The 14918-nt window shown below is 39.5% G+C and overlaps 1 protein-coding gene across 1 annotated transcript in view; it reads left to right on the top strand.

The window, feature by feature from the left end:
- HSD17B11 (hydroxysteroid 17-beta dehydrogenase 11) overlaps window positions 1-14918 on the top strand; it is a 54674-nt gene that overhangs the window by 21343 nt on the left and 18413 nt on the right. The window contains exon 5 of the mRNA NM_016245.5: window positions 12430-12567. Within this exon, the coding sequence (NP_057329.3) occupies window positions 12430-12567 (138 nt within the window). The remainder of the gene's footprint in view (window positions 1-12429; window positions 12568-14918) is intronic.

The following is a 14918-nucleotide window of genomic DNA, read 5'->3' as shown; positions in this document are numbered from 1 at the left end:
CCCAAATAGCCAATTTATAAGCATGAAAAGTTGCCAGTATGGGAACGCTCAGTAAAACTGAGTTCTGAACATTAGCTTGTAACAAAATGTTATTTAAAAGAAAAATCTGGGGCCAGGCATGGTGGCTGACACCTGTAATCCCCCAGGCTTTGGGAGGCCAAGGCAGGAGGATCACTTGAGCTCAGGAGTTCAAGAATAGCTTGGGTAACATAGCAAGATCTCATCTCTACAAAAAATATTTTAAATTAGCTAAGTGTGGTGGTGCGTGCTTGTAGTCCCAGCTACGCAGGAGGCTGAGGTGGGAGGATTGCTTGAGCCCAGGAATTGAAGGCAGCAGTGAGCCATGATTTCACCACTGCACTCCAGCCTGGGCAACAAAGACAGACCTCAACACAAAAAGAAAAAAAAAAAAAGAATTTGGAATAAGAAGTACTAATTCAGACTATTTTTTTCAGCCCTCCAAGACATCTGAATAATTTAGACTATTTCTAATAAGAAGGAATTTGATGTAATGTTACAAAGTGCAGGGGGCAAAAATCTACTCACTTTTAGCTTTCATATATATATATGCCTTTCTATATATAGGTTCACCATAAAGTTGAAAAATATGTTATTCCTTTTACACACTCAAGATCATTAACTCTGACTTTCAATATATTCTTGCATTTTTGGTCACTTAAGTAAAATCAGAAAATAAGGTTTAGTAAAAGAAAAAACTAAATTTATGGATAGCTTCACCATGCAGAAATGTTAATGGAAAGGAGTCCCGATCCAGACCTCAAGAGAGGGTTCTTGGATCTCGTGCAAGAAAGAATTCAGGGTGAGTCCACAGTGCAAAGTGAAAGCAAGTTTATTAAGAAAGTAAAGGAATAAAAGAATGGCTACTCCATAGACAGAGCAGCCCTAAGGGCTGCTGGTTGCCCATTTTTATGGTTATTTCTTGATGATCTGCTAAACAAGCAGTTTGTTATTCATGCCTCCCCTTTTTAGACCATGTAGGGTAACTTCCTGCCATTGCCATGGCATTTGTAAACTGTCATGCGCTGGTGGGAGTGTAGCAGTGAGGACGACCAGAGGTCACTCTCGTGGCCATTTTGGTTTTAATGGGTTTTGGCCATCTCCTTTACTGTAACCTGTTTTATCATCAGCGAGGTCTTTATGACCTGTATTTTGTGCTGACCTCCTATCTCATCCTGTGACTTAGAATGCGTTAACAGTCTGGGAATGCAGTCCGGTAGGTTTCAGCCTCATTTTACCCAGCTCCTATTCAAGATGGAGTTGTTCTGTTTCACATGCCTCTTGACATTTCCCCCTTCCCTTTTATAAGAGAACTCTTAATCCTAAGAGTTGCAGACGGATGAAAATCCATCTTTTGTAACTTCTTCAGGCTGAATGGGGCCATGATATTCCTGCCTAACTGTTAGGGTCTCTTGTGTTCAGGGTAGAGAGGAGCTTAGTCAGAAAGCATCAGTGTGGCGAGGGCCATTCATGACTCTTGAGTTTTTTGTGTGTGTGTTTTTTGTTTTTTTGAGATGGAGTCTCGCTCTGTCACCCAGGCTGGAGTGCAGTGGTGCGATCTCAGCTCGCTGCAAACTCTGCCTCCCGGGTTCATGCCATTCTCCTGCCTCAGCCTCCTGAGTAGCTGGGACTACAGGTGCCCGCCACCACACCCGGCTAATTTTTTGTATTTTTAGTAGAGACGGGATTTCACCATGTTAGCCAGGATGGTCTTGATCTCCTGACCTTGTGATCCACCCGCCTCGGCCCCCCAAAGTGCTGGGATTACAGGCATGAGCCACCGTGCCTAGCCGACTCTTGAGTTTTGACAAGAGGTGATATCTGGGAGATTAATAAGTATTTAGTTTAAGAAAACATTTAGTAAGCCTGTCCTGTGTTCCCACACAAAGGGTATAACAGCAATATATTCCATAAGAGTAAAGCAAAGTAAGTAAAGTTATTCCAAGTAAACTAAATTAGAAGGCTTTCCATGAACTGGGCAACTGTTGAGACCAAGCTGATATGGGGTTGCTAGCTGATTGCAATGTGCCTAGAATTTTACATTACCCATCCCTCTTGTTTCTTCTGAGCAGCAGTTAGAGATCCCTGGTTGGTTTACAGGAATAAACAGGGTTAGCCTAAATTGCAGAAACAAACTTAAAAACAACTGAGACTAGAATTTAATAACAAGTATACTATAGTTCTTGAAATATAATATTCTCTCTCCAGTTTCCCATTTTTATTAAAGACACATTATGGTAAGACTGATTTGCTTTATTATACTTGGTCTGATTATTTGTATAAAGTGCAGCGAGAATAATTATTTTTCACACAGGCTTTTTAATTGGCTTTGATGGAACTCTGTTTTATAAGGAATCTCAGGTAAGACTTTTTTAAAGCTAAGCCCTGCCATGGGTTTGTACCCTTAAATACCTATGAGTTGGGTAAAACACTTTTCTTTTGAGGTCCCAAGTTAACTTGGGCCTCCTGGACCTGTAAGAAAGTGACATTCTTTACTTACCATAGGTCAGAAACCCTGTACAGGGACTGTGTAGGCAAAGTATGAGGCCAGTTTCCCATAGGGCTTTTATTGGCTTTACAAGTCAAGTTTGATTCTTTAAAGGAAAGCACACCATTCCAGTCAAAGCCTTGGTAAAATAACCAATTTCTCCAATAGTGTCCCATTACAAAAGAAAACAGATTTTTGTTGCACTTATACAAACAACTATATTGCCATAAGTTAAGAATACTTACAATTGGTTTCCATTCCGGAGAAATCAGGTAGAGAGAAACAAATATGTTTCAAATTTTGTTCATAGGAGTATATTTTACTTAATTGCTGCAAGCTGTAAATAGCTTAAAAGAAGTTTCCTTTGAAAAATAAAAGATCAGCAATATTTTAAGCAAAGTTAAAAAAAATTACTTCAGTTTTCTATTGGTTCAGTTAATTCAGTTAACTCCTGTTCTACTTGTTATTCATGAACATTCCAGCTTTTTATGAGAGTTTCGAAAGTTGTTTTCTTTATTTTAATGTTACAATTTCTAAAGTTATTAGCAACCTGCATTTAAGAACATCTGCTAGAATTCTATAGTTGATTATAAACCACCTTTTAAAGAAGATTAAAACAAGACAACAACTGTCTGTGGATGATAAAAACTTTAGGACAGCCACTATTAAAGCCACAATTGATAAGGAAATTTGGTTACTTTTGTGGCATACAAAATTTTACATAACAATTATAATTATTAGTAACATACACTAAGTCATATTAGAAATAAAGGAGTTTCTTATAACTTTGGAACATATACCAATAACATATTTATACAAATATAGTCCAAAGAAAGCAAAACACTGTTTCACATTTGAGAATGCTTCCTGGATGATTTTTATACCAAATAAGCGAAATTTCACCTTTACATTAATGTATTATTAATGTTAAACCCAATTTTTAATAAAACCTTAGAGACATATTTACCCAATTTTAATGTTTAATCCTAAGGTAAGATTTTATAAACCTTTATAACCCTTTACATTTTTTTGTGAAAGCGCAGATAAGTCCTCTAAGAGAAACCTGTTGTGCTTTTATTCCAATGTTTAATTTATGGAAAAACTGAATAATACCCCTTTAACTTTAGCTAATATGTTCATACACAGAATCTCTTACAATTAATTTTTATAAACCTTCCACAAAGGCCAGGTGCAGTGGCTCACACCTGTATATCCCAACACTTTGGGAGGCCAAGATGGGTGGATCACCTGAGGTCGGAAGTTCAAGACCAGCCTGATCAACATGGAGAAACCCTGTCTCTACTAAAAATACAAAATTAGCCAGGCATGGTGGCACATGCCTGTAATCCCAGCTACCTGGGAGGCTGAGACAGAAGAATTGCTTGAACCCGGGAAGCAGAGGTTGCGGTGAGTCAAGATCACGCCATTGCACTCCAGCCTGGGCAACAAGAACAAAACTCCATCTAAAAAAAACCTTCCACAACTTCTTTAAATCTTTTTTTTTTTTTCACTTAACACAATCCTTTAACACTTTAATCTAGGCAGAAAATAATCCGCATTCCCATGCTTCTTCTTACAATTTTTTTTTTAACCAAAAACACATTTCACCTTTTTTATACACCTTGCATGTAAAACTGTTTCTTCAGTAGTCTTAATTACACATTACAATGCTAACTTCTAGCAACTTTTATTTTTGATGAAAACGTTGGTTAAGTAAGGGATTTTAATTATGTACTAGGTGTGGAGACTAGTCTAGGACACACCAGGCAGAAGTGCAGATAAGGGCTGACTCTCCAGCATAGCCAGGGGCATGAGGCCTTATCTAGAATCTGATGGCTTTAAAGTAGGTAAATAGAACAGTTTTCAAAAGTTAAAGAAACAGTTTGTCCTTAAAGCATTTAGCAAATCTGATATCTGACCTTAATTTAGACCAAATGTCTACATTTTTAAGACATTTTATTTTACCAATAAACTTTAAAACTGTCTTTATTTTCAAAAGATTACTAAAGTCACACGAACAAAAAGGCATTAGTTTCTATTTTTCTGAAAAAATATTTACGCACTTACTTTTCTAAGTCAATTGATTAGAGCTTTGTAATATATAAACATACACTATAAATAGAAGATTCAGCACTTATACAGTTTTTCGTTTGCCAGTTTCTTTTTTTTTGAGACAAAGTTTCGCTCTTGTCACCCAGGCTGGAGTGCAGTGGCATGATCTTGGCTCACTGCAACCTCTGCCTCCCAGGTTCAAGTGATTCTCATGCCTCAGCCTCCCGCGTAGCTGGGATTACAGGCGCCCACCACCACACCCAGCTAATTTTTGTATTTTTACTAGAGACGGGTTTTCCCCATGTTGGCCAGGCTGGTCTTGAACTCCTGACCTCAAGTGATCCGCCCACCTCAGCCTCCCAAAGTGCTGGGATTACAGGCATGAGCCACCTCGCCCCACCATTTGCCAGTTTCTTAATTGGATGACAGGTTTCAGAGTGGAGCCCTTGGAGGAACAGAGCTGGGACAGCATGCATTTCTAGGGCTAAATAAGTAGCAAATAAGCAGCTGAAGGCAGACAGATCTCCAAAATTAAAGGTGGTATTTTATACTGGATCCTGGATCCCCAAAAGGAGGGAAATACTACGGGAGAAGACAATGCAGTGCTTTTACCGACTGTGCATTTCATTGCAAGGCAACCTAAAGCCAATCAGCCCATTTTGTAATCAGCCCATCCTCATGAGAGTCTCATCTCCCAGTGAGGGGTGAGGATGTTGCCTTATCTTCCAGGTGGCCTAGAGCATGCTTCTCTGATCCAAGTGTGCAGAGTCAAGTATCCCTCCATAACTACTATTAGCCACCCCTTAAAGTACATTTCCTACCTAGTTGTTACACACCAAAGCTCTCTCATAATGCAAAGTAATTGCTGATAACCCCCCTCCCCCAAACTCAAAACCGTCAGATAACACAATGCAAAACAGAACAGAGCCTTTGATTTTGAGAGGAATCTATCTGCTTTTAATTCTTGGGGTCTCATGAGGAAAACAGAGGGGTTTTTTTTCTTTTTTTTTTTTTTTTCCCAAAACTGGATCTGTGGTGCTGCCTTTGTTTTTCCCAAGTAGTCCCAAGCTACCAGAAGTTATCTACGGGCCTTTCATGTGAGCATTAATAGTAACAAGACAAAACAAAACAAAACAAAACAAAAAAACAAAAATAATTCACTTGACTGAGAAGAAAAAACCTTTTTCCAGCAAAACAAGCTTCAAGAAGAGAAAAACATAAAGGCCTTTTAAATATATTTATAGCTTATTCCACTTTTAATTAAGCTGACTTTTCACCATAGTGCTCTTTAAAGAAGAAATCCTTTCAGAGCTCTTATTACCCGACTTTAGCCATGCCAAGCGGCCAATATTTCCAGCTTCTGAACTTTACCAAAGGTAAACTCCTAGGTGCTTAGAAGAAGGAAAATTGAAGACAGTCCATGGAGGAGAAGAGAATAGACACATATATTAAATCAGTAATGACTTATTTCCTGGGTGGGGAATTGAACCTAGACTGCCACTGTGAAAGTGCAAAACCTTAGCTACTGAGCTACAGGTCTGGGCAGTGTCTATTTCTTTTCTCAGAAGTAGTCTAGATTAGTTAATTTTGAGCTTGCAAAGGCTTTTAACTATTTAATATGATTTTCAGAGCTGGCTATGACATGAACTTTAAAATTCTTGTTCCCTGGAAGACAGAGCCCAAGAGAAGGTACTGCCATGCGGTTAAAAGGTCAAGCTCCCAAGCACATAAAACAAGGTGGAGACTTCATCGGGTTTTTTGTTTGTTTCAGGGACCTGCAACCAAGTTTGTTACTGACCAGCTTGCTGGGTAGTCTTGAAAAGCGGGCTTACAGGTGTTCTAAGCCCATGTTTTATCCTGAAGTACCCCTCTACACGGAAAAACGAATTCATAGCACAAAATACACCAGCTTAAGACTAGCCTTAGAATTCTTTTTCGCATTAATTAAGTCTTTACAGAGGTGATAAACACTGATTTTTTTTCCATTCATTCAACTGTTTGCACAGAGAGAGAGAAGCTAAAAATCTGACTGGTAACAAATTCTTAGCCTTTTGCTGGCATGCCAGGCTTCTGGGTTCCTTTTCCCTGAGCAGCCCTAGTGATCGGGCTTGTGGCACCATCTCCCCGGGGGCCAAGCTGCATCATAAAGGAAAAAAATTTTTTTTTTCATTTTGACCAGAGCAAAATATGCATGATAAAACATAGACATTAGCTACTCTGCTTAGCACCCAATATCAAACTGGCAAGGCTTAAATTTACCCCCAGTTGGGCCCCATCATCTTTAATCCAACCTCTGACTTGGAATTTCAACATGTGGTCTCTGGGCAAGAAGGTCGCCCTGAGAAATAGAAAAGATAAGAAAGGGAAAGGAAAAGTAGAGACGGAAAGTATTGCCTGTGGCAGGGTGGGGAAGGCAAAATGATCAGGGAGGCCAGAGAAAGACCCACCTATTGCAGCAACACTGAAAACTTCAGGCTGCTGCTGTCGGTTGAGCAGGGATCTTTTTCAGCAATCCTGTCAGCTCTCAAGTTTCCCCTTTTAGGCAGGAAAAAGCTCCCCATGTCCCACGATCCTGTGCATGCCTAACCCTGTCACCCATAGCCATCAGCAAAGAGTACAAAGGCAGATTAATCCAAAGAGAACAGCAGTTAACATCCCATAGTGCCAAACCTGTTCTTAGCTGAAAGGGACTTTACTGAGAGGGTCCTCTAACCCCCTAAATCTTATTCATTTTATTTATTATTTTATTATATTTTATTTTTGAGATGGAGTCTCGCTCTGTTGGCCAGGCTGGAGTGCAGCAGCACAATCTCGGCTCACTGCAACCTCGGCCTCCCGGGTTCAAGCAATTCTCCTGCCTCAGTGTCCTGAGTAGCTGGGATTACAGGCATGCATCACCACGTCTGGCTAATTTTTGTATTTTTAGTAGAGACCGGGTTTCACCGTGTTGGCCAAGCTGGTCTCGAACTCCTGACCTCAAGTGATCCACCCGCCTTGGCCTCCCACAGTGCTGGGGATTACAGGCGTGAGCCACTGCACCTGGCCTAACCTCCTAAATCTTAGAAGGGACTCTAATCCTCCTAAGTCAGGCCTCTAACTTGACGTCAGTCAAGTGTCCTTGCCTTTTATTAAGAAGGACCTGTAACCCACTCTGTCTTAGGAGAGACTCTAACTCCCCTAAGTTGGGCCTCTAACCCAATCCCATTCTTTACCCAGGTGTAGGCACCCCACTTACTCAAAGTCAGCCCACTGTTGTGCCCTGATGATTTTCCTTTGGGTCAGGGGTCTCTTCAGTATTGTAACTCTATGGTCTGCCAGAAATATGTTACAGGACCCCAACACTTACCCAAAGGTAGCCATAGGGTCAGGGTTTCTGCACTTTAGTCCCTTCGTGGTTGCCAGAAAGATGTTACCAGAAAGGGGTCCCGATCCAGACCCCAAGAGAGGGTTCTTGGATCTCATGAAAGAAAGAATTCAGGGTGAGTCCACAGTGCAAAGTGAAAGAAAGTTTATTTATTTTTGAGACAGAGTCTCGCTCTGTTGCCCATGATGGAGTGCAGCGGCGCGATCTCAGCTCACTGCAAGCTCCGCCTCCCGGGTTCACGCCATTCTCCTGCCTCAGCCTCCCTAGTAGCTGGGACTACAGGTGCCCGCCACCATGCCCAGCTAATTTTTTGTATTTTTAGTAGAGACGGGGTTTCACTGTGTTAGCCAGGATGGTCTCGATCTCCTGACCTCGTGATCCGCCCGCCTTGGCCTCCCAGAGTGCCAGGATTACAGGCATGAGCCACCATGCCCGGCCGAAAGCAAGTTTATTAAGAAAGTAGAGGAATAAAAGAATGGCTACTCCATAGACAGAGCAGCCCCAAGGGGTGCTGGTTGCCCATTTTTATGATTATTTTTTGATAATATGCTAAACAAGGGGTGGATTATTCATGCTTCCTCTTTTTAGACCATGTAGGGTAACTTCCTGACGTTGCCAGGGCATTTGTGAACAGTTATGGCGCTGGTGGGAGTGTAGCAGTGAGGACGACCAGAGGTCACTTTTGTGGCCATTTTGGTTTTGGTGGGTTTGGTTTTGGTGGCTCCTTTATTGCAAACTGTTTTATTAGCAAGGTCTTTATGACCTATATTTATTTTGTACTGACCTCCTATGTCATCTTATGACTTAGAATGCCTTAACCATCTGGGAATACAGCCCGGTAGGTTTCAGCCTTATTTTACCCAGCTCCTATTTAAGATGGAGTTGCTGTGGTTTACATGCCTCTGACAAAATAATCATGATATGCATGTTATAATTTTTAAGGATATTTTAAATGCAAACATATAGTTATGCATTGAAAAAATATATAATTTTGGCTCTTAATTTAAAATAATATATGTTAATAAATATTATGTGCAACATCGTTTTCTATTTCTGCGTGGGATACCACTGCACATACGTGCCACTAGTTATTCAATTTACTCATTATCATTGGTATTTTGTCACTCTTTCAGTTGCAAGGAACAAAAAACTTAAACTGCCCCAGGCCCAAAGAGGAATTTTTTGGCTCTGTGATTAAAGTCTCAAGCAGGCTGTCTTCCTCTGATGGCCAGATATCTACCAGAAGTTCCAGGGTTAAACCCTTTAAATTCCAAGTCCAGCAGGAAGGGAAAAAAAACATCACTTCAACAGTGGCTTCAAACGTTCTTGTTCTAGAGGTCAGTGACTAGACTAGCCTGGAGCCAATCACTGTATGCATTTGGTGACAGCGGTATTACCAGAACAAGGGGACACAAATGCTGATGGGAAAAAACAACAGCTGTCCACTACAGACATTTCACATTATTCCCAACTATTTGCTTTAATGAACTGCACTCCAGGGACTATCCTTGAACATTAATCTTTGGAGACATCATTGATTATTACCTTGGGATAAACACCGGATCTGAGAGCGTGGCATACTTTTAATGAATTTGATACCTTTTGCCAAACTGCCTTCCAGAAAAGGCTACCAGTTAACCTGTGCTTTGGAAAATAGAAAGCTGTGGAAAGAAAGTGTTTTTTGTCACTTTTTTGAAAGTTTGACATATATTGAATGAAGCCTTAAAAAGAAAAGATTGCTAGATTCAATTATATGAGGTGAAATATCTGTACATTGAAAAAAACTCAGATGAAAATTTCTGTCCTTATAATTACTGCTAGGCAAGAATTCCGTCTTGTTTTACTTTGCTTTTATATGAATTATTCCTAAAGTAAATCATTTTTATATGCCTACATCTACTGGCATTTTTATATTATGATTTTTCCATGAATGCCCTTTAGCCATTTATCTATTAGAGTATTGTCTTATTCCTTTATAAAAGTTGCCATATATTAACCTTATCCTTGTCTTATATGTTGCAAATGCTTTACCAGTTTGTCACTTGCCTCTTAATTTGCTTGGAGTTAATAAAGTTTAGAATATATCATATATAAACCTGGTTTACTACCCACACGTAAAACCTGATTCTGCCACTTTGTTTTGTATCTTCAGGCAAGTTTGATAACCCATCTTTACCTCAGTTTCCTCTTTGGTAAATGAGGATCTTAATATATTTTATAGGGGTATTATGAAGATTAAACAAAATAATTATTTAGAATAGGCCAGGTACTGTGGCTCACACTTATAATCCCAGCGCCGTGAGAGACTGAGGCAAAAGTATGACTTAACCCCAGGAGTTTGAAACCAGCCTATGCAACGTAGCGAGACCCACATCTCTACAATAAAGTAAAATAATTATTCAAGTGTTGTGGCACATGCCTGTAGTCCCAGCTACTTGGGAGGCTGAGGTGATAGGATTGCTTGAGCACAGAAGTTCCTAGGTTGAAGTGAGCTATGATTGCATCACTGCACTCCAGCCTAAGTGACAGATAAAGACTCCCCAAAAAACTCCAAAATGCATCAGAATAACTGAGGGCAATGTCTAGCACTTAGTAATCTATTTTAGATCTGATTTTTATTTATGTTGTTTTTCAGTATACAGAAGCTTTTAATCTCATATAATTTAATCTAACAATCTTTCTTTTAAGCCTTCTGTATTAGTCCCCTCTCACCCTGCTATAAATAACTGCCCAAGACTGGCCAATTTATAAAGGAAAGAGGTTCAATTGACTCACAGTTCTGCGTGGCTGGGGAGGCCTCAGGAAACTTACAATTACAGAGGAAGGGGAAGCAGGCATGTCTTAAATGGCAGCAGGAGAGAGACAGCGAGAGAGAGTAAGAGCAAGAGACGAACTGCCAAACACCTAAAAAACCATCAGATCTTGTGAGAACTCCCCCACTATCACGAGAACAGCATGGGGAAAACTGCCCCCACGATCCAGTCACCTCCCACCAGTGCCCTCCCTCAACATGTGGGGATTACAATTCGGATTACAATTGTTGATGAGATTTGGGTGGGGACACAGCCAAACCATATCAGCTTCAATAAGTGCCTAAACTTTTTTTAAAAAGGTAAGAAATTTTTTTTAAAATTTTTTAAAAAATTTCCACAGCTTTCTGTCTTCCAAAGCATAGATTAACTGGCCAGAATGTATAGCTACTTTGTGTAATTGCTAATTCATACAGATTTAACAGAATAAAAGATTATCTGATAATTATTGCCACTGAATTGCACACTTAAAAATGGTTAAAATGACATGTTTTACATGATATATATTATACCACAACTTTTAAGTTAATTATATATCAAAAACCATTTAATTGTGTACATTAAGTGAATGCTTTGTGTGACATATGAATTTATATCTCAATAAAGCCCTTTTTAAATTAAAAAAACCTGAGAAAGTAATGTCCATTTAGAATAAGTAATTTCACTACTACTTCCAAATGAAAGAGCTGTTAAAATAAACGCTTTGCATTGTGATTCATTCATTTGACAAATATTCATTGAGCACCTAAGAGCCAAGCACTGTGCTGGGCCCTGGAGATTCACTGGTGACCAAAACAGTCATGGAGCTTATAGGAAAGGTGTGGGAAACAGATGTTTTAAAAAATTTAATCTCAGCTGGGCGTGGTGGCTCACGCCTGTAATGCCAGCACTTTGGGAGGCCGAGGTGGGCAGATCACGAGGTCAGGAAATCGAGACCATCCTGGCTAACATGGTGAAAACCCGTCTCTACTAAAAATACAAAAAATTAGCCGAGCATGGTGGCGGGCGCCTGTAGTCCCAGCTACTGCGGAGGCTGAGGCAGGAGAATGGCGGGAACCCGGGAGGCGGAGCTTGCAGTGAGCCGAGATCGCACCACCGCACTCCAGCCTGGGTGACAGAGCAAGACTCTGTCTCAAAAAAAAAAAAAAAAAAAAAAAAAAAAAATTTCTCTAATGAATGTTCAGTTACAAATCTGAGATAGATACTATCATAGAAAACTGAAAATTACTATATAATGAGAAAATAATTTAGACTGGGGGTTAGGAAAGGCCTCTTTGAGGAAGTGAAGCTGTGACTTAAAGGAAGAATAGGATTTATCCAGGAAAAGTTTTCAGCAAATTCTATGGACATCTTAAAGTAAATAAGGAACAGCTTATAGTGACACTGAATTTTGTGGAACAACAACAAAAACAAATACTCTACTAATTTTCTTTAAAAGGCTTTTTAAGGAAATGTTCTTATTCCGTAAGTGATGCTAAGATGCAGTAAATCTTCTATGTCAGGGCTTCTTGGACCTTAATGTGCCTACAGATTTACCTGAGAATCTTGTAAGATGTGGGCTCTGATGCAGTAGCTCTGGGCTGGGGCCTGAGACTCAGGGAATGCCCACATTGCTCTGCAGAGGACCATGCTGAACTGAGGAAAACAGGCAGACATTTCAGAATTCTTGAATTATTTTGTAAACTCTCTATTTTCAGTTCAAGCAAGTTTGCTGCTGTTGGATTTCATAAAACTTTGACAGATGAACTGGCTGCCTTACAAATAACTGGAGTCAAAACAACATGTCTGTGTCCTAATTTCGTAAACACTGGCTTCATCAAAAATCCAAGTACAAGGTAAGTTGAGAAATTGAGACAAAAGGATTGGTGGTTGCTATGAATACCAGCCATTCTGTGGGTTTTCCTAAATGTTTTAATCCTGAAAACACCTGATAGTTAAAGCTCTTAGTTCATTTTGATTTCAGTTTCTGCAGATTGTGGGAAAACAGGTGGAAAGCCAAAAAGAGAGAAAGCAAGGGAGCGTGACTAAAAAAGTAAATATGAATGACATTGGTAAACTTGCTAACTCTTCCTTTTTTCTTCTCCTGAGTAATGATTCACAGGCTTAAATATGCATACATGTCACCAGGTGTGCTTGGGAACTATGTTGGGGCTTCACCCTCAGATATGTTGACTTACTGGGTTTGGTTGGGGTAGGGTAGTGGCAGGGAAGGGAGCCTGGAACTCTACATTTAAAAAAGGTGATTATCATAGGTGATTCTGATAGAGATAACCCAAGACCACATGTGAAAAACACTTCCCTTGGAGGTAATCTAGAGATTAGCCTCCGAAAGGAGTACCAGATCATACTCTTTACTTGGTTAAAAAATAAAATTATAAAGGATTAATTTGAAGATAATTTTTAATGTTTTCTCTCTTTAGAAATAGCTTTAATGTCTTTGTAAACATGATGCATACTTATTTGTTTAAATTCCAATGTTAATGAAAAATACAAATCGAAAAGTTTCTTTTTTAATTTCCTTAAAACCCTCTATTGAGTGGAAACCACTCTCAAAATTTTGATAAACATCCTTCTAGACTTCTCTGAATTTTCTATAACTGGCGTATGTTACACATGGGGTCCTGGAAGCAGCAAGTATACTGCATACTTCCCTCAGCATTATGTTACAGACATCTAATAAAGTACAGAGCATTATAATAAATTGTATTGATTATTGGGAGCAATAGCATCTCCTAGTGATGATTTTAGGGTTGTTTTTAGTGTTCTGGATTTTTAACAGCAAATCAGCAATAAGCATCCTCGGGCACACATATTTTCACTTTTGGATAATTATCTCCCTCAGGTAGATTCATAAAGGGGGATTACTGGGCCAAAGGGTATATAACTTGTAAAAATTCCTACATATTGCCAAACTCCTCTCCAGAAATGCTCCACTGATTTGCACTCCTACCCACAGTGCAGGGAGAGCAACTTACTCTCTACTTCTTCATCAGTCTGCCTTCTGTGACTCTTTTAATCACCGCCAATCCAGTACGCGAAGAATCATCTTTGTTTTTACCCTGATGACTAGCTACATTCATGTTCGCATATGATTTTTGGACATTGCACTTCCTTTTATGAATTGCCTATTTTCATGGCATCAGCTCACTTTTTGCTATTGAGCTCTAGAGTTGTTTTTGTTTGTTTCTTTGTTTGTTTTTTGTTTTTTTTGAGACAGGGTTTCACTCTGTTGCCCAGGCTGGAGTGCAGTGGCGCAATCTCGGCTCACTGCAACCTCCACCTCCCAGGTTCAAGCGACTCTTGTGCCTCAGCCTCCCGAGTATCTGAGATTACAGGCACGCACGACCACGCCCAACTAATTTCCGTATTTTTAATAGAGATGGGGTTTCGCCACGTTGGCCAGGCTGTTCTCAAACTCCAGGCCTCAAGTGATCCGCCCACCTTGGCCTCCCAAAGTGCTGGGATTACAGGCATGAGCCACCATGCCCAGCTGAGCTCTAGAGATTTTTAATTAATACATAAGAAACAATTCTTCATACATTTGAGAAACCCCTTTATATATCACATCTGTTGCATATGTTTTTTTTTTCCCCAGTTGTTTTTTGTTTGCTTTTAAGCCTATTTTCATTTAGTTTTACATTAAAATTTTCTTAGGGATTTTTTTCTCATGGACTTTAGGTTCTGTGAGGTGTTTAGAAAGGTCTTTCTCATTCCAAGTTTTTGAAAATATTTACCCATATTTTTTCTAGCATATATTTTATGGTTGCATTTTTCATATTTAAATCATTGCCCCACCCAAATTTATTTTGATTTAAGAAGTAAGGTCACAGTATAGTTTTTTCCAAATAGTTAATGAGTTTTCTGCACTATTTATTAAATAATACATCATTTTCCTCACTGATATTAAATTCATATTATAAGTTCACATGCTTACTTGGATAGACTTTTGGATTCTCAATTTTATTGTAATGATGAGATTCAATTTTGCTTGGTTTTGTTTTGTTTTTCAGACAGGGTCTCATTTAGGCTGAAGTGCAGTGGTGTGATCATGGCTCACTGTAACCTTGAACTGGGCTCAAGCAACCCTCCACCTCAGCCTCCTGAGTAGGACTACAGTGTGTGTGCCATCATGCCCAGCTAATTTTTTTTTTTTTTTTTTTTTTTGAGAGCCAGGATTTTGCTGTTT

The sequence above is a fragment of the Homo sapiens genome, chromosome 4 (genome assembly GCF_000001405.40).
Source record: "Homo sapiens chromosome 4, GRCh38.p14 Primary Assembly".
Lineage (NCBI taxonomy): Eukaryota > Metazoa > Chordata > Mammalia > Primates > Hominidae > Homo > Homo sapiens.
Note: the sequence above shows the minus strand (reverse complement) of the source record. Positions and strands in the feature narration are given on the sequence as shown.